The 26,878-nt window shown below is 39.0% G+C and overlaps 1 protein-coding gene across 10 annotated transcripts in view, besides 1 other annotated feature; it reads left to right on the plus strand.

Moving 5' to 3' along the window:
• Positions 1-26,878, plus strand: part of RGL1 (ral guanine nucleotide dissociation stimulator like 1) — a 292,424-nt gene that overhangs the window by 75,860 nt on the left and 189,686 nt on the right. The gene's annotated exons all lie outside the window — the stretch shown is intronic.
• Positions 11,849-12,349: an enhancer, noted in NCBI's record as "H3K27ac hESC enhancer chr1:183692952-183693452 (GRCh37/hg19 assembly coordinates)". NCBI's record gives its function as "activates a minimal SCP1, AML or CMV promoter by ChIP-STARR-seq in primed H9 embryonic stem cells {active_cell/tissue: H9 hESC(primed)}" and the evidence as "EXISTENCE:reporter gene assay evidence [ECO:0000049][PMID:30033119]".

Genomic DNA, 26,878 nt, shown 5'->3' on the forward strand with positions numbered 1-26,878 from the left:
GAGTAGCAGTGCAGATTTACTTGGCAAGGTTTTTCTGAGGATTAAAGTACCCTAAATCATGTAATTAAAATGAACATAAAGTATTTTCCAAATTTGAAGAGCCATGGAAATGAGAAAAATAATTACTAAGAGACCCAGTGAGGGGCTATGTTTGAACTGTTGGCCATTCCTTGGGCAGTAGTAATTTCCTGGCAGGAACTGGCCTGGGAGGGCCCTTGACAGATGTTGCACAGAACTAGTTTAAGAAGGGCTGACTGGCATGTGGTTTTTATTTTATCTTTGTAAAGCTACAGTGTGAGGCCTGTGACAGCAGGAGGAGGCCGTGAGGTATTCACTTGACAGCCTGCCATTGTCAACTCTAATGGGAGAGAAACTTCAGTGGCTAGAAGGGCAGCCTCAGGTTGTAAGCGATTCATTTTTAGTTCAGCTGCAATAACTCCTGCTGGTGATTTAATCCTGTGACTTAGGAACTCTTCGTGTGTGCTTGAGTGAATGAATAAAAGAGAGACAGAGTGAGAGAGAGAGAGAGTGTGTGTGTGTGCACGTGTGCACACATGCACACACATTCATGTGAACAATTTCTATTCACTCACTTGTGATTACCAATGGGCCACATTCTATTTAGGTTTTGGAGGCTTGGCATGAAGCATGTTTTGCTAGGATGATTTGTTTTTTGGACAAGGAAGCTAACATGGTAAGTCATATGATAATTTAGTTTATGTCTTCATTGTTGCAGAGTTTGGCTGATAGCAAGGGCAGTCGAGAATGATAGTCTCATATAGACCTTAATCCCAGCTCCTAAAGTAGAATGGAATTGTGGAAATCAAGTTTTCTGGTCTAAAATAAATGTTTTGTGGCATTCTTATAAAAGGAACAGGTTGAAAAGTCCCTGTGGAATCTTAATTTTGCCACTGCAGATTATTGAAGACCCCAGGTGAGCAAATCAACTGTGAGGAGGTGATTTTTATCAGTTGGCATTGAACAGACCACAGCATAGCTATCACCTGCATGGCCTTCCTTTGCCTTTGATGATCGTGTGTGTCAGTGGGATGGAGGATTTTTTTTGTTTTGTTTTGAGACAGAGTCTCCCTCTCTCGCCCAGGCTGGAGTACAGTGGCATGATCTCGGCTAACTGCAACTTCCACCTCCCAGGTTCACGTGATTCTCCTGCCTCAGCCTCCCGAGTAGCTGAGATTACAGGCGTGTACCACAATGCATGGCTAATTTTTCTATTTTTAGTAGAGAAGGGGTTTTGCCATGTTGGCCGGGCTGGTCTCGAACTCCTGACCTCAGGTGATCCTTGGCCTCCTGAAGTGCTGGGATTACAGGCATGAGCCACTGCACCTGGCTGGGATGGAGGATTTTAAAAGGAGTTGTATTGCCTTTTTGAAAAAAAAATCTAGAGGCACCCCCCCCCCCCGCTTTTATAATGACCCTTTTGACTGAAACTTTATCTTAAAAATTCCAGGATAAGGGATAAATTAGCCAGTTGAATGTGATTTCCATGTGCTATAAATTTTCATATTCTCCCAAAATTCCTTTCTCAATGCGATGGCATTTGGGAGTGGGGCCTTTTGGAGGTAATTAGGTCATGAGGGCAGAACTCTGATGAATGTGATTAAAGGCCTTATAAAAGAGGTTCCACAGAGATCCCTCATCCCTTCTACCATGTGAGGTCACAGGGAGAAAGCACTGTCTGTGAACCAGAAGATGGGTTTTCACTAGACACCAAATCTACCAGAGCTTTGATCTTGGACTTTCCAGCCTCTAGAACTGTGAGAAATCATTTCTGTTGTTTATAAACCATTCAGTTTATAATATTTTGTTATAGAAGCCCTGTTGGACTAAGATACCATGAATCTAGAGATATTTTGCATATTTTATTCACCGCTGTATCCCTAGGCCCTAGATATGACCTGACATTTATTTAAGGTGCTCAATAAATATTTGTTTGATGAATGAATCAATCGAAAAAGGGCTATAACCTCCTATTAGGAGTGATCTCTGGGTATTGGCTCATGCTTGCCTTTTGGGATCATTTGCATGGATGTCATAAGTGCTAAAATCTTAAGCCACGAGAAATATGGAGCTTGTTTCCACCGCAGTGATTTTCTGTGAAATCACTACCCAAAGATTTTTCACGCTTTCCAAAAATATTTTTTGAATGAACACATGTCATGGGTGGGGAAGTTTTCCTCTTATTGGGCAGATATTTATTTTCTTATTTCATGCAGATGCCCCTGTGATGTTAACTTAACCCTACTACTGGGTTTTCCATTTTTTTGCATTTGAATCATACTCAAACCCATGCCAGAGAACAATGCAGTTCAGCTTTCTGATGACCATGTACAGTTTTTGCAAGGTGGTCTATCTTGTCCCTTTTTAAACTGAGGACTAATTTAGTATAAAAGATCATTTAGAGAACCTATTCCATCTATTCTAGCTTTGCCAGCATGCACAGAAACACCCAATGCCACAAAATCACTGAAATGAGACTCACACACCAGGATTAAGGGAAGATGATGCTTTTGATGAAACATTAGTGAACAAATAGAATTTTAGAATCAATGATAATCTCTGCCTCATTATGTAATTTAAGCCCCTTGATTTGTACCTGAGGAAACCAAAGCCCTGTGGAGCACAGACTAAGGACGTATAAGAACTGGAGTTAAGACTTATGCCCTCTGACTGACAGTAAATTCTTTCCATAGTACTGTCACAGCATGCCACAGGGAACAAGTGTCTTTTTATCTTTTAATAACTGTATCGAATGCTTAAGGCCAGAAAGAAGAGTATAGATGTTAACAGATATTTGCACTGTACCAGCTCCCAGCCACCTGAAAGAGCTTGATGGGTCGGCATCAGTGAGTCTTGGAGAGTACATGAAGACCCGTTGCTCACAGGGTGTGAACTGGGAGTTGGAGGCAGTCTGGTGCAGGTGGAAAGGCATTGAACTGGGGTGGAGTGAGGAAGCTTAGGTTCTGATTCTGATCGAGCCATTGCCATGCTATATATATTTTACCTTGTTTAGTCCTAATTACCATCCTACTAGGTAGGGATGGTTATTCTTATTTTAGGAATGAGGAAACCGGGGCTTAGAAAGGTTAGGAAACTTTTTTAAATTAAGGTTATACAGGCTAATAAGTGGCAGAGCTTCATTTGAACCCCAGCCTATATAATACTACCCAAAAGTTACTGCCCAGTTTCCCTCTCTGAGCCTCATTGAAAAGAAAATGTTTGGATGATCTCTGACATTCCTTCCAGGTCACAAATTCTACATTTGATCTTGTTTTTTTTGTTTTTTTTAGTGATGTTTGGCTTTGAAGATTTAGTCCACCCCCTTTCCTCCCTCGTTGTTGGTGAACTGATTGTTACACAACCAACCTCACCTCATTGTTGGTGAACTGATTGTTGGTGAACTGATTGTTATATATGGTGAACTGATTGTTATATAGATTTTCACACGTCTGTCTCCCAGGATAGTGTGCTAAGAGGACCATTGGAGACTGTAGAAGTTTGTTTCTTTTAGGTGTAAGCCTTGTTTCTCAGGGTACTATGCTTTCACTAGCATCTTAAATAATTAGGTGACAGAGACTATTAACACTTTATTTTCACATAACACCAAGTAACTAAGAATTGCTATTATTTTGCCAATTAGCCCATGCAATCCTTAGCTCATAAACCAAACTATTATCTTCAGATACATATTAGTCTCGATTACCCAGAGAAACAGAACCAATTGGAGACCTATATCTATATCTATACCTGTATCTTTCTATAACTATACATGTAGAAAGGGAGGGAGGGAGGGAGGGAACGATGGAGAAAGAAACTATAAGGAATTGGCTCATGTGGTTATGGAGGCTGAGAAGTCCTAGAATCTGCAGTTGGCAAGCTGGAGACTCAGGAGAGCTGATGTTGTAGTTCTAGTGCAACTCTGAAGGTCTGAGAACCAGTAGAGCTGATAGTGTAAGTTCTAGTCTGAGGAGAGGACTGAAGACAGAAGACTAATGTTCCAGCTCAAAGACAATGAATGAATTGGATGAGGCTCACCCACATTGGGGTGGGCAATCTGCTTTACTCATTCTGCCAATTCAAATGTTAATCTTATCTAGAAACACTCTCACAGACATACTCAGAACAATGTTAAACCAACTATCCGGATACCACATTGCCCAGCCAAGTTGACAAATAAGTTAACCATTACAATATACTAGAACTATTATGTTTTTACACTTCAAGAGGTGTTGAAGTGACTCAGTCGATCTAAGGGGAAAAGGTGATATGCTATTAAAAATATAAACACAGATAAAAACTGTATGTTTTAGTTAGGGTAAGCTAACTGTTATAACAAATAGACTCCAAAATTTCTACTGGCTTAATCATAAAAGAAGTTTATTTCTTGCTTGTTACAAAGTACTGATCAAGTTACCAGGTCAGCAGAGTCCCTGCTAAAAGAGGCCTCTTCATCTTTAATATGTAGCTTCTGAAGTCAGCCCAAATGTTGTCTTCATCTCAACCAGCTGGGAGGAGAAAAGAGCATGGAGAAGTGCCACATGGGAGGATTTTATGAGCTAGGCCAGGAATGGCCCAAGTCTTTTCTGTCACATTCTTTTGCATGGAACTCAGTCACATGGCTGCACCTAACTGTTTGGGGGCGGCTGAAAAATGTAGTCCCTGGCTGGGCAGCCCATATCCCAGCATGTCCACTGTACCCTGTATAAAGAATCAGAAGATCTGAATTCTGGAATTGGCTTTCCTATTAACTGGCTGGTGATCTTTTCTTGTCTGTAAAATGTAAAAGCTTGTTGATATCCCAAATACCTTCTTGCTCTAGAATTCTGTGTCTCTGTTTTGCTCTTTAAAAGAAAATGTTCTGTGTGAAGACAGCTAGTTCTTTGCCTGGATGCAGTGAAGGTCCTGGTTCATGCAGCAAACTTTGTCTCATGTAGGACTTAATACTGGCAAATCAGGGAGCCAAGTCTGGGGGCTCTTTTGATCCTGTACTGGATAAATTATTATTCACTGGGCATAGTAAGCATTGATTCATGGGTGGCAGTTTACTGTATTTTAGGGGTCTTCTAAGTGGTGTGTGCCCCTGGCCCACATGAAGATTTTTCCAAAGGGTTAGGTGTTACAGCCAGCATTTTTAGAGGATCAGTTATCTTTAATTTTTATATGTACCTACTCCTAAACTGATCAAAGAACATCTGCAATGAAAGAATTTTGTTAGTTCTTCTTTCCCACCTCTTTCACAGTTGCCCTTCTCTACCTTTACAAATGAAAGTCTACTGCTTACTCAGCCTGCATCTTGCATAGTTCATTGTTCCAAGTGTAGAAACCTCTAGGGCACCAAAGTGATTTTTTAAAATATGTGTCACTTATATTCAAGATATTAAACATACTTTCTCCATCTGGCACATTAAAGAGTATATTTATAATAAAAGTTTTGCTTTTTATGTTTAGTAATAATTTATGAAAAGTATATGTATTTATGTTGTTTTGATCAATTATGTACCACTCATAATTGAGAATACAGCTCAGTAAAACATTATTTAACTTATAGCCTGATAGTGACAGAAACTTAAAAAATATTTTTTATTTATATTTGGTACTTTTAAATTTAAAACTATTTTGCCCTAAGAGAAAATTCTATAGCAAAGGTGAAACAGAAATACAATTTCAAGAAGCTAAAGGAGTGACTGTGTGTACTCGGGTGATGATTGAGATAGATTCCGCCCTTGTGGCTGATAAACTAGTGGAGGAGGCATAAACAAGTAAATTAGCAAAAGTGCAAGATAATTTTAGACCATGATAAATGCTATGAAGAAGGTAAGCAGGAGGGTGGTCAAAGAAAGCCTCTCAGAGGAAGTGGCATTTGGTATGAGCACAGAAGAAGTCTTCTCTCCTCTTGAGCAAATACATCCTCTCAGGTTGGGGCATGGATATGGTGGAAGGGAAGCAGAGCTTATTTCTGTTAAAAAGAGCTTGTTCATGGCTGGGTGCGGTGGCTCACGCCTGTAATTCCAGCACTTTGGGAGGCTGAGACAGGTGGATCACGAGGTCAGGAGATGGAGACCATCCTGGCTAACACGGTGAAACCCTATCTCTACTAAAAATACAAAAAATCAGCTGGGCATGGTGGCACACGTCTGTAGTCCCAGCTACTTGGGAGGCTGAGGCAGGAGAATCGCTTGAACCTGGAAGGTGAAGGTTGCTAGTGCCACTCTACTCCATCCTGGGCGACAGAGGGAGACTTGGTCTCAAAAAAAAAAAAAAAAGAGAGAGAGAGAGAGCTTGTTTATGTATATTTTAAATGGATGCTGATGGAGATCAAATTGCTTTGGTATTTATATTCCCACTGGATACATTTAAAGGAATGACATAAGTTTGTGATATTTAAACTATTTCAATAGTCACCATACACTAGAAATTATATCATTTGCAAATATTTAAACTTACAATGAAAACTTTTTCATATCAACCTAAAATGAACAAGTGGTAAATAGTTTATTAAAATGTTTTTGGGGATACATGAGCAAAGGACTTTCAAAACCACTGGCATAGTAGCTTAGAATATGGGCTTTGAGTTTAGGCTGCTTAAGTTGGAATCCTGGATCCACTACTACTGGTCGTGTGATGAAGAGTCAGTTCTGTGAGCAACAGCATCTGAATCTGTAAAACAGAACTGTAATCCCAGCACTTTGGGAGGCTGAGGTGGGTGGATCACAAGGTCAGGAGTTCGAGACCAGCCTGACCAACATGGTGAAACCCCCGTCTCTACTAAAAAAAAAACTACCCGGGCATGGTGGCACATTACTGTAATCCCAGCTACACAGGAGGCTGAGGCAGGAGAATCGCTTGAACCTGGGAGGTGGAGGTTGCAGTGAGCCGAGATCTTGCCACTTCACTCCAGCCTGGGCAACAGAGTGAGACTCTGTCTAAAAAAAACAAAACAAAACAAAAAAACGAAAACGAACAAACACAAAAAGCACCTAAGAAGGAGGAAATTTGAAGTTTACATGAGATAATGCATGTCAAGTGCTAATCTCACAATAAGGGCTGAACAATGTTTTCTATATTATCAACATTATAACTTTGCTCTCAACTGTATAGTGCTGATTGAACTCTATTATCTTTCATATGGTTGCAGAGCAGGCTGAAAGGTAAATTGTGAAATCTAGCCCTTTGCTGAACTGGAGTAGCACTTAGGGGCAAACTACACTATTCATTTCATTCTTTCCTACTTGCTTTATGTGTTATTGATTGATATTCATTCATTCATTGATAGTCCAAGTTGAGTATGTTTTGAGACACTTACTGAGCAGTCCTGCACCTTGACTACAGTGTGGTCTCTTCTCCTCCTTGTAGTTCATTGAAGTCATTCCAAGGAAATTACAGATTTTCCTTCTCTCCCTGTGCACGTGTACCTCTAGAGTGTAGGGAGATGCAATCTTGAGAAGAGTACTTGGTTTCTCCCTGAGGACAAGCTGATGGCACTGGCTCTGTCTCCTGATGTCCTTGCTGTGGCTTCCTCCTTTGTTCTGCTAAGGCCTTAGGGCCTTTGTGTGACACAGCTGGGGATTACTAGGAAGAAGTAAATATTTGCAAAGGGTGTTCTGTAGAATGTTAAAAAAAAATAGAAAAAAATTAAAGGCCAGGTGCAGTGGCTCCTGCCTACAATCCCAGCACTTTGGGAGGCCGAGGCAGATGGATCACCTGAGGTCAGGAGTTTGAGACCAGCCTGGCCAACATGGGTGAAACCCCGTCCCTATAAAAATACAAAAATTAGCTGGGCATGGTGGCGCATGCCTGTAATTCCAGCTACTCAGGGGGCTGAGGCAGGAGAATTGCTTGAACCCTGGAGGCAGAGGTTGCAGTGAGCCGGGATTGTGCCACTGCACTCCAGCCTAGGCAACAAAGTGAGACTCCATCTCAAAAAAAATGAAAAAAAAATTGCAAAGGAAAGGGGACCTTGGGAGCAAGTTAACATGGTCTGGTGAGGTGAAGAGAAAAGCTGAATGAAGGTGGCATTAGAAGGAGAGAGGATTTAAAATTATTGAGGGAAGTATGATTAAAGAAACTGGAAGATGAAGGTAAAGGATGGTAGAAAAATTAGCGTTAAAAAAATAGAGTCTGCCAAAAGCAAAAGTAAGGATTCATTAAGATACATAGCAGAAGGAAAATTGTGAAATGAAGTAAAGGAAAAATACAACTGATGAATCACCAGGGAGTTATAGCAAGGCCTTAAAAATCATTAATGGAAAGTTTAATGCCAAAATATTAGAGTAAAAAGATAGCTTGAAAGTACACAGCTTGTCTGTGCCTGGCTCCTAAAAAACACCACAGAACGGCCAATCCTTTGCCTCTGGCACCCACACAGCATGCATGCCCTGAAGTGAAATCTTTCATACCGTCCCTATACTCCCTCTTCACACACAAGCTTTGTTACCATTCTTTTTATTTCATTCCCACTGGTCCAAAACTGTATATGCAACCTATAAGAACTGACCCAGCGGTGCTGCCAATGTGCAAAGACCTGCATCCATGGGCTGCCTACTTCTGGCAAAGGATCAGTTTGCTTAAGTTGTCCACTTCCCTTGTCATACTACTGACTTGTCAATATTACAAGTGTTTATTGACAGTCTTCCTTCTTTCAGCTGAAGGCCTTTCAAGTTAGGGACTGTGGCTCTTTTGCTTATTGTAGTAGTCCTGGAACCTAATGTGTGGAGAATGGATTAGATGGGGAGAGAGTAGGAGTTTACCTACTACCAGGGTAAGAAGTAGTTTTGGTGAGTTAAGGGTGACTTGGTTTAGGGAGTTGGAAGCTGCGGCATAGGAAAATGTCTGTTTGAGACTTTTAGGAGATATGTTTTGATGAAAGAAAAGGACTTGGTAATTGATTGGATGTGGGTACTGAGCAAGGGAAAGTGTCAAGGATGACTTGGAGAGAGCTCTGATTGGGTGGTGGTATAATTGAGTATAACAGAGAACACTGGACGAGGATCAAGTTTGCGAGGGAAATAAAAAACCCCTGAGATATCCTGGTGGAAATGTTGAGTTGGCAGTTGGATGTATGGAGCTGAAAGTGATGTCCTTTCACTCCCATTTCTCTAGACTTGACTTACTTCCTGATCCCAGATCTCTGTTTCCAACCAATTATTGAACATATTATCTGGAAAAACCACAGGCTGCTCATTCTCAGCATGACTAAAACTCACCTAATCATATTCCTCTGTGTAGCCTGGTTTCCTTCTTAAAATCTTAGTCATTCAGTGGGAATTTTATTTTCCTGTTTCCTCTGTCTCTACCTGACCTGCAAATCCATTCCACCCTTGTCATGTAAGTCTTTTTGATCTATACGTCTAACTCTTATTTTCATTTCCACTGCCATTGTTCCACTCCCACTGCCTGATGCTCATTTTACCCCTGCCTATTATAATAGCTTCCAAATTTGTCTCCCTGAAACTGTGATTTCTTAACTTCAAGCACACGTCCTTATTCACACTGGGTGCAATCTTTCAAAGGCTCAATAGTAAGTATGAGTTTTAACCCCACAGTATGTTAGAAAACGCCTTTCCCCTTCTGTCCTCTGCATACCTCACCAATCTTGTCTTCTTTGCTCAACCAATCTGTAATCAGATCTTTGGATAACCTGCTATTATACAAATGCGCACTCTAATTTAGGCACCCTTGTGCCTGTTGTTTCCTCTCTTCAGGATGAAGTTTCTTCACCTTTGGCCACCTTGGATACTGTTTTCTTAGCTTGGAATGTGTTTTCCTCACTTCATTCAAAGGACCAGCTTAAACATCACCTCCTCATAGAGACCTACACTGTGCCTGTGTCTTGGTTTAGCTCCCTTGCCTACTTTTACTTTAAGACACTTATCACAATGATGATGGTATTATTTATGTGATCATTTATGTAATGACTATCTCTGTCACTAGATTAAAGACCTCATAGGGTCAGGGTCTGTGACTATTTCATTCACCATTGTGATTCAGCATCTGTGGATTGCAGTTGCAAGCATGGATAGGGATGAAATTAGTCAAAGAGAAAATTTGGAGTGAGGAAAGAAAGTCAAGACAGAACACTAGGGAATACCAATATTTATGGAGCTGGACATGAAGGCAGATCCCACAGAGAAGTCTGTGGAGGAGCACTGGAGAAGGTAAGAGAACAGGGCAGAACAGTGTCATGGAAGTCAATGATGGAGAGGATTCCAAGAAGAAGGAGAGAACACTTAATAGTCTGGGACCAAAAAAAAAAAAAAAGATAAATGAACTTGAAGGCATAGCAATAGAACCTATCCAAAATGAAGCTTACACACAGAGATAAAAAAGACCAAGAAAAATAAGAGAGACCTGGAGGCAATAACATGTTGACTGACATATGTAAATGGGAGGCTTCAGAAGAGAAGAGAGTAAAAGAGAACAGAGATAATATTTAAAGAAATAATGACCAAACATCTTTCATATTTTATGAAAGGTATAAACTCACAGAGCTAAGAAACTCGGAACATGAAGCAAGATACCTACTAGGGAAACCACACCAAGAACTTCATTATCAAATTACAGCAAGTTACTAATTCTGACAAAAATCTTAAAATTAGAGAAAAAAGGGCACATTCCATACAGGGAACAACATAAAAATAATTACAACAGAGTTTTCGGAAACTATGCATGTCAGAAGACAATGGAGTAACATCTTTAAAATGCTGGAACAAATTTTGTCAATCTAAAATTCTAGACCCAGAGAAAACACCTTTCAAACATGAAACATGTCTTTCCTTAGACAAAGAAAAGTTGTGAGAGTTGGCCAGCACACCTGCAGTACAAGGCTTGTTAAAGGAAGTTCTTCAGGCAGAAGGAAAATGATACCTGATGATAATGTGGATCTACACAAAAGAATAAAGAGCTCTGAAAGTGATAAATATGTGGGTAAACTAATTTCATCATTTAAAAAATTTTAAAAAGGCAACAGTAGACTGCTTAAAACAACAAACAGCAGCAACAATATATTGGGGGAATTCATGACATGAGAAAGTAAAATACATGACAACAATAGCACAAAGGGCATTGGGGGGGAAATGGAAGCACACCAATGCAAAATTCTTGTATTTTATGTAAAATATTGTAATGTTTTTCCAAGGTAGACAAATAAGATAAAGATGCGTATTAAAAGCCCTAGATGAATCATTAAAAAATAAAGTATAGCCAATAAACCAATAGTATTGAGAAAATGGAATTTAAAAATACTCAGCTAGCAGGAGGCAGAGCAAGATGGCTGAATAGAAGCCTTCAACCAATTGTCCTCCTTGCAGGAACACCAAATTTAACAACTATCTACCCACATAAAAAAACACCTTCGTAAGGACTGAAAATCAGTTGAGTGACCACTGTACCTGGTTTTAACTTCATGTCACTGAAAGAGGCACTGAAGAGGATAGGAAAAACAGTCTTGATTTGTCAGTGCCATCCCTCTCTGGTTCCCTGGCAGTGGCCGCATAGCAAAGAGAATCTGTGCTCTTGCGGGAGGGAGAGTACAGTGACTGTGGGACCTTGCATTGGAACTCAGTGCTGCTCTGTCACAGTGGAAACAATACTGGGCAGAACTCAGCCAGTGCACGTGGAGGAAGCATTTAGACCAGCCCTAGCCAGCAGGGCTTTATCCATCCTAGCAGTGGGAACTTGAGTTCTGGCAAGCCTCCCCACCACAGGCTAAAGTGCTCTGGGGTTCTAAATAAACTTGAAAGGCAATCTAGGCCATAAGGACTGCAACTCCTAGGCAATCCTAGTGCTGGGCTCAGAGCCAGTGGATTTTGAGGGCATGCAACCTAGAGAGACACCAGCTGGAATGGCCAAGAGAGTGCTTATGCCACTCCTTCCCCAAACCCACGCAGTGCAGCTCACAGCTCCAAAAAAGACTCCTTCTTTCTGCTTGAAGAAAGGAGAGGGAAGAGTAAAGAGGACTTTGTCTTGCAACTTGGATACCAGCTCAGTCACAGTAGGATAGGGCATTAGGCAGAGTTATGAAGCCCCTATCCCAGGCCCTAGCTCCCAGATAACATTACTAGACACACCCTGGGCCAGAAGCAAACTCATTGCCTTGAAGGGAAGAGCCCAGTCCTGGCAAGATTCATCATTTGCTAGCAAAAGAGCTCTTGAACCCAAAATAATCAGCAGTGGTAGGTGGGTAGTACATGCCATGGGTCTTGGGTGAGACTCTGAGATGTGCTGGCTTCAGGTGTGACACAGCACATTCCCAGCTGTGGTGGCTATGAGGAGAGACTGTTTCTGCTTGAGAAAAGCAGAGGGAAGAGTAAAGGAGACTTCATCTTGCAGCTTAGGTACCAGCTCAGCCACAGCAGGGTAGAGCACTAAGTGGGCTCTTGGGGTCCCCAGTTCCAAGCCCTGGCTCTTGGACAGCATTTCTGGACGTCCCCTAGGCCAGAGGGGAGCCCACTTCCCTGACATATGAGTCCTAAGCCTGGCAACATTCACCACAAGCTGACTGGAGATCCCTTGGGCCTTAAGTGAACATCAGCAGTAGCCTGGCAGTACTCCTCACAGGCCTGTAGCAGTGGTCACCATGAAGAGAGACTCCTCTGCTTGTGGAAGGGGGAGGGAGGAGTATGAGGGACTTTATATTGTAGTTTGGGTGTCAGCACAGCAGCAGTAGAATAGAGCACCAGGGAGATTCCTAAGATTTCCAACTCTAGGCCCTGGCTCCTGGATGGTATCTCTGGACCTGCCTGGGGCCTGGGGGGAGCTTGCCATCCTTAAGCGAAGGACATGAGCATGGCTGTTTTCACCACCTGCTAATTATAGAACCTTAGGGCCTTGAGTGAACACAGGCAGTAGGCAGATAGTGGTTATAGCAGGCTTTGAGCGAGGCCCAGAGCTCTGCTGGCTTCAGGTCTAACCTAGCACAGTCCCAGTGGTAGTGGCCACAGGGGTGGTTGTGTCATCTCTCCCCCAGCTCTAGGCACCACAACACACACACACACACACGGAGGGAAGAGGAGGAGGAGGAGAGAGAAAGAAACGGACTCTGTTTCTTTGGGAGAAAGTAAGGGAAGAGAATAAGAGTCTCTACCTGGTAATCTGGAGAATTCTTCCAAATCTTATCCAAGATCATCAAGGCGGTACCTCTATAAGTCTGCAAGAGCCACAGCGTTACTGAGCTCGAGGTGTCCCCCTAATGCAGATACAGCTGCAGTGACCAAAAACTCAGATGACAATATCCAAGTTCCTTTGAATACCTGGTAAGCTTTCCCAGGAAGGATGGTGTATTAGTCTGTTCTCACACTGCTATAAAGAACTGCCCAAGACTCAGTAATTTATAAAGGAAAGAGGTTTAATTGACGGTTCTGCATGTCTTGGGAGGCCTCAGGAAACTTACAATCATGGCAGAAGGGGAGGCAAATGCATCCTTCACATGATGGCAGGAAGAATTGCTGAGCCAAGGCTGAACTTTTAAAAACCCAATTATGTGTAGTCTATAAAAATTTATTTAAATAAAAATACACAAAAGAGAAAAGCTGGGAAAAGATAAAGCTGTTTTAGTTATATTAATAGCCAAAAAAAATAAGAACTATTACCAGGGATAAAGAGGAATATTTCACAATGATGGAGTCAATGAATCAATAAGGCATAACATTCCTAAATGTGTATTCACCTTATAACTAAACCTCAAAATTCATTAAGCACTTGACAGATCTGGAAAGATAAAAAGATAAATCTACAATTATAATTGCAAATTTCACCACTCCTTTTAGTAATTAATAGAACAAGTCAACAAATAGAAATATGGAAGAATTAAACTAATCATCAACTTGAACTAATTGACATTTTTAAGAACATGTCACTTAACAAATGCAAAATATACATTCTTTTCTAGTGCAGTGGAGCATTTACCAAGATAGACCACATGCTTAGCCATTAAACAAGTCTCCAGAAATTTAAAAGGATTGATATGATATAGAGTATGTTTTCTGACTACAAGGGAATAAATTAGAAATAAGCAATAGAAAGATACATAGAAAATCTCAAAATACTTGGAAATTAAATAGCATACATTGAAGTAATTAATGGTTTAAAGATGAAATAAAAAGGAAAGTAGAAAATATTTGGGGGTAAATGAAAAGAAGACACACATATCAAAATTTGTGAAATGCAGCCTAAAGGGAAATTTATAGGCTTAAAAGCTTAATTAGAAAAGAAGAAAACTCTATAAGCAACAGGCCAAGCTTCCATCATAAGCTAGAAATATAAGAGCAAATTAAACCCCAAACTAGTAGGAAACAAATAGTAAAGAAGAGAAATAAATGAAATAGAGAAACAGTGAAGAACAATGAAATCAAAATCTGATTCTTTGAAAGATCAGTATAATAGATAAACTGCTGGCTATATTGATCAAAAAAACAAAAAGGATGACAAATATTACCAATATAGATAATGAAAAAGGGGACATCTCTAAGATTCTTTATATACTAAATGTCTATAATTAAGGGAATATTATAAAAAAACTTGATGTTAATAAATTAAACAACCTTGATGAAATGGACAAATTCCTTGAAAGACACAATCAAAACTAACTCAAGAATCAACAGAAAACCTGAATATCAATTAAGCACATTAATTTGTAATTAGAAATCTTTCCATAAAAAAATGTATAGGCCCAGATTTATTACCTGGTCAATTCTATTACCGGGTCAGTTTATTACCTAGTCAATTCTATCAGACATTCAAGGTAGAAATATAAGTGACAATCCCTTATCCAAAACGCTTGGGACCAGAAGGACTTTAGATTTTTGATTTTGGAATGCTTCCATTATACTTACCAGTGGAGCATCCCAAATCCAAAAATTTGAAGTCTGAAATGCTCCAATGAGCATGTTCTGTGAGCACCATGTTGTTACTCAAAAAGTTTTAGATTTTGAAGCATTTCCTATTGCTGATTTTTGGATTTGGAATGTTCAACCTATACCACTATATGAATTTGTTTTGAAAATATAGGAGAAATACTTTTATTTTATATGGTCAGCACTTTTCTGATCTCAAAACCAGACCAAAAATATTGCAAATAAAGACAACTACAGAATAAAATTACTTATGAACATGGACCAACAATCTTCAACAAAAGATGTGCAAACTGAAAATGAAATATATAAAAAACGTAATACATGATAATCAAATAATGTTTATCCTAGGAATACAAGGTTGCTTAACATTACAAAATTAATGAATGTAGTTCATCTTATTGTCATAATGGGACAAAAACCATATCATCATTTCAATAAATGCAGAAAAGCCACTTGATAAAATTAACATCCATTACATATTATCATATTGTACCATAATCATCTTCCAGTAAACTAAGAATAGAAAGGAACCTCCTCAATCTCATAAAAGGCTGATGATGACACATTTCTATGAATATACTAAAAACTACCAAATTTTACACTTTAAGTGTTTGAATTTTATGGTATGTGAATTATTAAACTGTTTTTTTTAAAAAACCTGTTGCTGACTTAGTATTTAACCTGAGTGCTTTTGCCCTAAGATCAAGTAGACAAGGATGGTCACTCTCTCCACTTTTCAACATTCTATTGAAGACTCTTGCCAGTGCAGTAAGACGAGGAAGAAAAATAAGAGGCACATAGGTTAGAGAGCTACAAGTAAAACTGTCTTTATTCACAGATGACATGATCAAGCATGCAGCAAACAGCAAATCTTCATGAATCTACCAAAAACTAGTAGAACTAATAAGTGATTTTAGTAAGATTTCAGGATGCAAAATTAATTGCATTTCTATATATTAGCAATAAACAGATGGAAATTTTAAAAAGGACAATATTATTTGCAATAGCATCTCAAAGCATGAAATACGTGAGTATGATGATTAATTTTGTGTATTAGCTTGACTGGGCTATAGGGGGCCCAGGTGTTTGGTTAAACATTACTTTTGGGTATGTCTATGAAAGTATTTCTAGATGAGATTAACATTTGAATGGGTAGACTGAGTAAAACAGGTTGCCTTCCCCAGTGTATATGGGCCTCATCTAATCCAATTCATTGGGAGCCTGAATAGAACAAAAAGCAGGGAAAGGGAGAATTTCCTCTCTCTGTTTTTAAGCTGGGACATTGGTCTCCTGCAGTCAGACTGGAACTTATACCATTGGCTCCTAGGTCTTTGGACTTGAACTGGAACGTATATCATCAGTTCTACTGATTCTCAAGCCTTTGGACTTGGAGTAGAATTTACATTGTTGGTTCTTCTGGTTCTTAGGTGTAAGGACTTGAACTGGAAGTTCACCATCAGCTCTCCTGTGTTTCCAGCTTGCAGATGGCAGATGGTCTGACTTCTCAGCCTCCATAATTACATTAGCCAATTCCATACATATATAGCCAATTTATATACATATATAGTTGGTTCTGCTCCTCTGGAGAACCCTGACCACTCCAAAGGGGTTAAATTAAATAAAGTATATGTTAAAACCCCTACCCTGAAAACTGGAAACATTTCTATGTGAAATTTAAGAATATGTAAATGTATTGATTTATGATGTTTATAGATTGGAAGACCTGAAATTGTGATTTCAGTTCCTCGAATTGATTTATAGATTTGATGACATTCCAATAAAAATCCAGATTTTCTTATAGAAATGTTCAAGCCATTTCTAAAACCTAAATGCTTAGAATAACCAAAACAATTTTGAGAAAGAACAAAGTTAGAACACTTAAACTTACTGGCTTTAACACTTACTGTAAAGATACAGCAATCAAGTTGGTGTGTTATTGGCATAGTTTTGACACATAGATCAATTAAACACAATCGAGAACCCAGAAATAGACGAGCATGTGTATGGCCAATTGATTTCTGACAAAGATGCCAAGGTAATTCAATATGGAAAGGAATACCTTTTCAACAAATGGTCTTGAACAACTTGTTATCCACATTTAAATAAATTAACATCAACCCTTACTTTATGGTACACAACTGGATAATCTTAAATGTAAATGCTAAAACTATACAACTTCTGGAAGAAACTTTATAACCTTCACGTAGGCAAAGATTTCTTAAACAGGACACAAAATAGCATAAACATAAAAAGTATAAAAAATTTATAAATTGGGCTACATCAAAATTTAAAACCCGTTTATAAGAAAATGCAAATGCAAAGGTAGACCTCAGACAGATAAAATATATATGTGTGTGTGTGTGTGTGTGTGTATACTATTTTATATTATAAGGACTGATATCTAGAATATATAAAGAAGTCTTTCAACTCACTGATAGAACCAATTATAAAGTCAATAAAATGGACACATTTGAACAAACTTTACCAAAGAAGATACACAGATAGCCAATATATCCATGACTAGATGCTCAATATCATTCATCATTAGGGAAATGAAAATTACAACCACAATGTGATATCACTACACATCCGTTAGAACATTAGAGTGGCTAAAATTAAAAGGACCCCAAATACTAACTGTTGATGAGGATATGAAACCACTGAGATTTTCCTGCATACACCGCTTATGGGAATATAAAATTGTACAACCACTTTGGAAAACAGTTTTGGCAGTTTCTTATAAAGTTAAACATAGATTTACCATAAGATTCAGCAATTCTACTCTTAGGTGTTTATCCAAGAGAAATGAAAGCATGTGTCCACAAAAAGAGTTGTACACAAGTGTTCTTTCACTTTATTTAAAGTAACCCAAACTGGAAACAACACAAATGTCCATCAGCAGGTGAATGTATAAATAAAATGTTTAACAATGGAATACTACTTAGTACTGAAAAGGACAAACTATTTAAACATGTACCAACATAGATGAATCTCAAAATAAATGTGGTAAGTGAAAGAAGACCGAAAAAAAAGTAGGTATTGTATGATATTCAATATAAACCTCTAGAAAAGAAAAACTTAACATATATTTACAGAAAGCAGGTTCATGGTTGCCCGGGGCCAGTGATAGGGTGAGATCGGCTGGGAAGGGGCTTAAGAGAATGATCTTTTGAAGTAATGGAAATGTTCTAATCTTGACTTTAGCAGTGGTAACATGGGTGTATACTATTTGTCAAAAGTCATAGAATATACCCTTAACATGAGATATGTAAACTATCCCTCATTAAAATTGTGCTTGTATGTAGTAGTTGCTGTTTTTGAGGGGCAACATCTTGGAGTCAGTAAAGGGAAACATTATAAAGGTGTTGACAATTTCTCCATAGTATAAAGCCTGTTCCATATTGGGCACTGTGTCAGGCATTCCTGTGACTCTTGGCTGTAATACAAAGCAACTTCCCACTTAAATACTGGCTAAGACCAAGAGCCAGGGTTCCCTCCTAGAAGTCCCAAGCTGGACCCAGAGGAAGGTGCTAACATGGTGTGTTTCGGCCACAGGTCTCTTTCAGAGGACCACAAAACTCACTACCTCCCCTCTCTGAGATAATGGAGTGAGTGTGTTAGGTTGGCTCAGTGGCTCAGACTAAAGCGTCAGGGACTCTTATATTTAAAATTGATGTCACTGCTAATGTACTGCTTGAATGTATCTAAGCCCCTGCCTTTCTATTTCAATTTCCTCTGTGGTTACAGGAAACCAACTATGACAGTCCATTATACATGGAAGGCTAGTGTTGCCAGATTTTAATTTGGAGAGTACAGAACATAATTTTGACTAATTGGTCCAGTAGGAACTAGAGTAGAATCTAAACAACTCTGGAGGTCTGTGGCAATGAAACAGGGAAGGAGGGAGAGATTTAATCAACCTTCACCCAGGCAGGCTGTTGACAGATTTCTAGGCTGACTTAATCAATGTACTTATTTCTCAGGTAAGACCTCAAAACTATTTGGATCTAATTTCACTATACTTCATCCTGTTCATGATATTATGCTTTCAAAGTAACAAGCCTCGAATTCCTTTTAAGGGCACACAAAAGAGTAAAACACACTTTCTTTTTGTCCCGTCTGAAGTGGACAAATGGAGTGGGTGCATAGAAGTTGTAACTCTGAGTCCACTTAAGTTTTGCAAGTGTATAAGTCATTTTTCAGTACACAATGAAGTTAACAATTAATATCTTTGTGGTATCCAGAAACAATGTCAACCAAAATTGGAGCAATGAACCTGAGAATTGAATTCACTTGAGCTATAAATCATAAACCCATCAATCTCTAGAGCAGAAGCAAAAGTGAAGTCATTGAATATTATAATAGATTCCATATGTTGTTTTAAAGAAGGCTTAAAAATAACTAGACTTACAGGTTACCATATTTCTGTGGCAAAAATTTACATATGTGAATAAGAAGTGAAATAACTGACTGTCCAATTTTTGCTTCTGTTTTCTGCCACTTCTTTTTAGTAGTGGAATAATTATTTAGCTCTTGAAGGGCAGGGCAGAGGAAGTGTGATAGGCACTAGAGAATGTGGAGGAGCTGATAAAATAGAATATGAAGGGAGGTAGAAGAAACTGACTCTCAGCTTTGGTAGAAAAGGTAGCACAGATAAGGAAGCACAATTTCAGATAACCCTCTTGGCCTTTCCCCTGCTACCTTATTACAGAGAGTTAGTGTTTCTCCTTAAGCATTAAAGTTACAAAGCCAAATAGTAACATGGCCACAATTCTGTGAAAATTTTGAAAGGCCATGACAAAATGAAAATGAAAGCTTTGTTCTAAGTCAGACAGATCTGTTTTCAAATTTGGACCCTGCTCTGTGACCTTGGGCAATTCACTTAATTTCTCTGAGCTTCAGTTTCATCTGGATGGGGAATTAATACTTACCTCAAAGAGCTCTCAGTGTAATACACTTGTGTATTTCTCTCTTCTAACACCTATCCTGTCAGTTTGAAATATAATCTATCATTTTGAAATGTATCTCTTTCTTCTCATACGATTGTAGACTTCCCAGGAATTGAGATTAAGAACTCCCAGCTCAAGGGCCAATTAGTGGAGAACACAGGCTTAACTTATCTTTGTTTCGCCCTGCCCCATACACACCTCGCACAATAATTAGGCTATAGCTACGTAAAACTTTAGGGACTTCTTCCTTCCTGTGACAGCATGGTGCTAGGTGAGATTTAAGGAAACTACACGTCATGTCCCTGCAAATTTGCCATCTTGTTATAGTCAGTCAGATTGGCCCACTAACCCTCCAGCTAGAAAGTCAGGAATGCTAAATCTTATATTTGCATGATTGCTGTTGTGCTAAGGTGTCAGAACGCAAGATACAATCTTAGTTCAAGTTTACACTTTGGTTTATGGGAAATAGCAAGGTCAATCTGTGGCAATGAAAAAAATGGAAAGTCCTGTAAAAGTTTAAGGAGGGAAGAATAAAAGGAAGAGAAAAGAAACTGTAACCCAGTTGGAATGAAATGGTAACATGGAATGAAATGATCCTCTTTCCCCCCAGACAGATGTTGGCATGGATTTCATATGGACTCTGAAACTAAAGCCGACACCCAACCGAGTGCTCAAGCCCTACATTCCATCCACCCCTCATTTGTTAGTATCAAAATTGAGGCATTTCACAAACTTGGCTATCGAATACTGTATGTGTGTGGAAAAGGGCCAGATAAAATGGGCCAATTAGAACACAGCCACATCTGTCAAAACTCTAACCCTTAACCTTAGTGAAAATATAATCTAGGATCAAACACAGAAGCCCCGCAGATGTACACAAGTCATTTAATGCAGCCCTTGGAAAGACTGTGATGAACAGCTGGTGCTATTGTGAAGGCCTGATGAGAAAGCCAGGCTTGGTTTTGCTACGAATATTTGCAATTTTAAAGAAAAAAAATAGGTTCTAATTGAGTAACCATTGAATGTATCCCAGTAAGGTCCTTCCCATAGGCTGAGTTGAAAATACTCTGACTCCGTTGCTATGCAAAGCAGTTTCTAAACATGTTTTGAAAATCCGTTTGAAATTTGAGAGTAGAATTTGGTTCTCAAAGGCTTCATTTAGGCTTAAAACCTTTTGGTTCACTCTAAAATAATGCGAGGGTTTCATCCTTAATGGACTATCGAGGTTAAATTCAACAGCTGCTTCTCCTCTGATATATATTTATGAATGCAGGATGCATTCTATATGGTACAGTACACCCTCACAGAGCTCTGAGTAAGAGGAAAAAAACATGGAAACAAATTTTTTTTTAATGTTGGAGTGTCCTTACGGGGTTTGCTAAAGGACAAATGGGGCTCTCATTAAAAATAGGGATTGTATCTTCTTGAGTATACATGGATCGTGACCAACACAACAGTTTTTACTGAATTTACTGATAAAAATGTCACTATGTTATGTCAAGCTCAAGTCTTTGGGAGGGTTTTTCAGGATTCTGTAAGATATGGCTTTGACTTTGTATTCGCTTTTGGGCACCAGGTCATCAGGGAAAAGTCACAAGATCTATGCAAAAGGCAGCGTCAGGAAGCAGCATCTCTAGTGGTTTCCCCTTGGTTTCATTGTCCCTGTGTTCCTGTGTTCATCTGGGTTATTGAGTCTTTGATCCCACATGGGAAAGGTTTGCCATGTTGAGCCAGTAGTAGTATAACTCATTCTAACTAAGGCACATAGCTTCTGCCCTCTCCCCTGCTGGATGAGTATTGGACCAATTCCTTTGTCCTTAGCACCACTTACAAGGATTTATTTCCATTCCAGAGGATTTATTCCCATTCAGAGAAGGAACAACATAGTTAGATAGGAATAAAAATGCTACTCTGTGTATAAAGCTTCTTGCACCTAGCTAATCTAGCAAACTGGTGTTTTGGTCTTCAACACTAACTAGATCATTATTATGTGACACTAATTAAAGGGTCTTCTGTAATGGGATAAGGTGTTATCTGATCAAATGAAGGAGGAATGATATTTGGCAGTATATGGTATATGTGAAAATCATGGTGTTCTTGCTACTTAGAGACTGTGAGAAGGGATAAGGATTGGCTTAGAGCCAGCTCACTCTACATGCTCTCCCAGAAGTGTTTTCTTGAAAGAGTTTTTCCCCATTGGGACCTTCCATTTTCCTCTGGCTTAGTAAAGTGACTGTAATTAAATAGATTCAATTTCTGTTTATGGTGAAGTAAAAGATTGAGAACAGATTGCTCTTTAACCTGAAATGTGGAAGGGCTAGTCGATTCGGAAGCTAGTTAAAATGATTTTGTGTATTAACTGGTAAACTCAACAGATTTTTTCCCCTGTGAATCTAACATTTCTAGATCTTTGCATTCCTCCCGTGAGAAGTCCACCTCTGAATCCTTTCGAGAGCTCAGATTCCTAGGAACTCAGATTTTTGAACATCTACATGATGTTATTTTGTAAGTGGAACACTGACTATTAAAGGATAGCAGTGGAGTGGAGTGGTGAGGGCACAGCTCTGGGTCAGGATAACTGGAGAGAAACCCTAAGGCTTATTCCATAATCTCTCTTGATTTGAGCTTCTGAGGATAAACTGAGGCTTGTAACATGCTAGCCCAGTATCTGGTGTAGTAAATATTGAATGCACTGTGGTGGAGAGGGTTGTGTTGTCAATGTTGCTGTTGTTATTGTTGAGACCTAAAGGATTGCTATGATCTAAATCAGCTTAATTTCCTTCAACTTGATAAAAATTAGCCTGTGACTATTGAACTGGATGATGCTCTCCTAATGGTTTTTGCATTTTGCCTTCATTCAGCCAGTTAAAGCTGGTGTTTACAGAATTGTGAAACATTTGAGCCTGGGACAGTCATGTGATTTACAGTTTTGTCTTGTTTCATGCTTTCCAGCAACATAATTACTGAACTTTTTATCGTAATAAAAATATAGGCAATAAAAAAGGCAGTCCCCTGGAATTCCCTCTATCTCTCTTAGAATGCTAAAGGATATTTTTTTGTGATCTCAGCTCTGTTCTGTTAAGTATCCTCTCCCTTCCCCACGTCTGTCTTTGCAGATTTGTGACCAGACGGCTGCACTGAATGGAGACTAGGAAGGGAGCCCAACTGTTTTCCTTGTGTTGGCCCTCTGTGCCGAGCAGGGATTGTTGAGCAAAGCAGGGATTGCTGAGCAGCGTTTCTCCAGGGAGGGTCACAGGGTAGTACAAACCCACTCTGGATTTTTCTTTTTTTTTTAATTATTAAAAACTTTGGCCAAATACTATCAGTAAGGGGGAGAAAGTATGTGGTTTGAAGACCAGTTGGACCAGTCTTTTAAAATATCAACTGGAATAAAGCAAGAATGCCTTACACTTCTTTAATTTTCTACATTTAACAGGAGACAGTTGCTCCCAGAGTCACTTCTAACTCCACAGACAGTATTGTGCAACCTTGCTCAGCATTTGGAGACACTATATAATTAAAATTCCTTTGAAAATGGTTGCCCAATGATTGACATTTATTCCAAAATACATTATCATGTTGAATGCTTAATTCCTTCTTCCAGTACATTTTCTTTAATAAAAAAGTAAAAATCTATTTTTTAAAAGGGTGATGGAGTTTTGTAAAAAATTGAAGCAGTGTAACAAACTTATGTCTAATCTTGCTCTTAAAGAGCTGGCAGGCTAGCAGGGGAGACCAGAGTAAGTTATGGAAAGCAAAAAAAGCAATACTCAGGATATAACTGAGTTGCCTTATATAGATAGACTTGAAATGCTGCTGAGATTCCAAAGAGGAAGAGATAATAGGAATCTGTTGCTCTCTTACCTCCTAGTACATTGACTCATACCTCCACTTCAAACACAAGCAACATTTAGTATTACTACGAAATTATCTAATGGGCTTCCTTTCTCAGGGCAGTAGGAATCTGTCTCTCTGCTGTGGCTTTCTGGAGTCCTTCCCTTCTGATGTCTGTCTGTGCCCCAGTTTCCATTTTCATATGGTCATCTTTGATTCTGGATAGCTGCTTCTCTCTGTGTTCTCAGAAGAAATAGACTAGTGAGATCACTGTCATGCCCCCTCCACAATTAGGAGGCTGTATCTTGAGACCTTCTTGGATCCCACAATTTGTAGATATCACAATAGCAATCATGGTTAGAGAAGTCTACCACCAAACCAGGAGTTAGATGCTAAGGATGGGTGAGCATGTCCAAATAGCAGCTTTAAAAAGCCTCAGCACACTTACAATAGACTACATGTCAGAGTTTTGGGTTATCTCTGAATAGTCAAAACCCCGATATTATATACATGTATGTAAAGAGGCTATTTTAATATCATACTGTTTGTTTGACTTTTGAGTAGTGAATGCATAATATGGGAATAAGTACAATACGTGAGTGAAACACCGAAATCACCTTTCACTGTTTTGTTTAGTAGTTTGGAGCCTTCAGTTCTTCTGGAAAAATAATTCAATGCACATTAGTTTTGCTTTCTACATTTGAGGGAGGTGAATGCTTTACTTTTGTAACTGTAAGAGGTCTCAGCAGTCTTGTAGCCTATTCATATTAAAGATAAGGACACTGAGGCCAAGAAAGGTGAAATGGCTTGCTTAATGGTTACACAGAGAATTAACTGTAGCTTCATGATTTTAACTCAGGTCTTGTGACTAGAATTTCAGTGCACTTTGCATTAGGCAATTCTGAACCTTTGAGTAAAACTAAAATGCAAAGACTGCTCTTGATAGCATTCTAGGTGGAAGAGTTGAAGATAGTAGGATATAAAGATAAACAAACCTATCTTATCTGGACAGGACCTCAGCTCATTAGGAAGAGGAATGAGGAAGAGAGAATGTAGGAGGAAAGAAATGGCAGAAAGACAAATAATCATGGGAAGGGACTGGAACAGGGTAAATGCCAGACATTTTCAAGATTAGAAGAAATCTGAGTTGAGTTTGAAAAATTGAAAGATTTCTTCAGGTAGAAGCAAAAGGAAAATAAGCAGAAATATTATCACATATAAGGGAGTCTGCAGAGGAAGAAGAAAAGCATGACCCTAATAGATAAAGATAAGAAGCACCAAATCATTTCAATAAGTTTCTGAATTTTAAACACTTTCTTTTCCTTCCAAACCATTTAAAGAGGAGGAGGAGGAGAAAAAAATAACGATTTGTGAGGGATGTCTCATATGCTATTTATTATAAGAAGGAAAGTAAAATTCAATAAATTACAAAATGATGTATCAAACAAAGTTCAGCATGGAGGTTAATAAAATAAATACAGACTTGAGTGGAGTTGTGTCCTAGCACTTACTTTTAAAGCCATGTTTCAAAAAAAGGGCATCCATGGAAGTGATGGATAATTTTTATCTGATAGCAAGAACAGACACTAATAATGGCAAGTTATTGTGTTCTTAGATTGTTATTTTAATACTTAACGTTTTCAAGATTAGCCTCTGAGAAGCTGCTCATTTACTTTTGGTGCATAATGATCACTTAGGGTATGAAGCCATCAGCTGCGCCCTTTGTTATGACCATGGAAAATGTTATGACCTCCTGTCAATGATTATTTTGGAAGGAATAGAAGAAATAAGTTATGATTACATATTATAGATATTATAAGCATAGTGTTAGTAAATATTTTAAAAAGAAGACTAGGCACAGTGGCTCATGCCTGTAATCTTAGTACTTTGGGAGACTGAGGCAGGAGGATCACTTGAGCCCAGGTGAGACCAGCCTGGGCAACATAGTGAGATTCTATCTCTACAAAAAAAAAAAAAAAAATCTTTCCATGGCTTTCTCATCTGCAGATTGTTTCTCAGTGTCAAGCAAGCACATCTTTCTTCCATCCCACCTGTCTTCCCTGTTTTAATTTTATTTCTGTGCTTCATAAGGTTGAGGCAGTATGCAATCACAATCCTTTTACAATTACAAAAAAATTCCCAAACAATTTTCTTTTTTAATTTTTGAGAAAAATTTTGCTTTTATGCTCTCTGATCAGATTTGCCTTTATATACATACAGGTTCCTTTTTTCACCCCACTCCCAACTTAAGGCTGATTTTACCATCCAGTTGTTTAAACAAAATTCTGTTTTGGGTATCAGGTGTTTTAAATTAAAAATTCTTCAAAATTGATTTCCAAAGGAGTCCGTAAGGCTTACGATATTTTAGACCAATTCTTAACTAGAACAGAAAATTTTGCCTTTTAGGTTTACAGTGATTTCATATTATCTGATGATTCTGTTGAAGGGGCCCATTATTTATGGTATTTGCCTGGAGGTTGTCTTGTAAGCCTTGACTATGTGTTTTAAGAAAGAAGGCAGGCTGAGTGCGGTGGCTCATGCCTGTAATTTCAGCACTTTGGGAGGCCGAGGCAGGCAGATCACCTGAGGTCAGGAGTTCCAGACCAGCCTGGCCAACATGGCGAAACCCCGTCTCTACTAAAAAATACAAAAATTAGCTGGAGGTGGTGGCAGATGCCTGTAATCCCAGCTACTCGGGAGGCTGAGGCATGAGAATCGCTTGAACCCTGGAGGCAGAGGTTGCAGTAAGCTGAGATCACGCCACTGCATTCCAGCCTGGGCGACAGAGCAAGACTCCGTCTAAAAAAAAAAAGAAAGAAAAAGAAAGAAGTCAGCAGTTCAACTATAAGATGCACAGTATATCAGAGGTAGTGGAAAGTCTACATATGCCTCCTATTTTAATTTTAACAAAAAAATGACTCTGTCACATAGACTTCTAGCTCTTTTTAGCGGAATAGGTAGGAAACCTATAATGCATGAATTGTTTAAAGAAAGTATCGAGGCTGGGTGAGATGGCTCATGCCTGTAATCCCAGCACTGTGGGAGGCTGAGGCAGGTGGATAATTTGAGGCCAAGAGTTCAAGACCAGCCTGGCCAACATGGTAAAATCTCGTCTCTGTTAAAAATACAAAAATTAGCTGGGCGTGGTGGCAGGCATCTGTAATCCCAGTTACTCGGGAAGCTGAGGCAGGAGAATTGCATGAACCCGGGAGGCAGAGGTTGCAGTGA

This window comes from Homo sapiens, chromosome 1, assembly GCF_000001405.40.
Source record: "Homo sapiens chromosome 1, GRCh38.p14 Primary Assembly".
Lineage (NCBI taxonomy): Eukaryota > Metazoa > Chordata > Mammalia > Primates > Hominidae > Homo > Homo sapiens.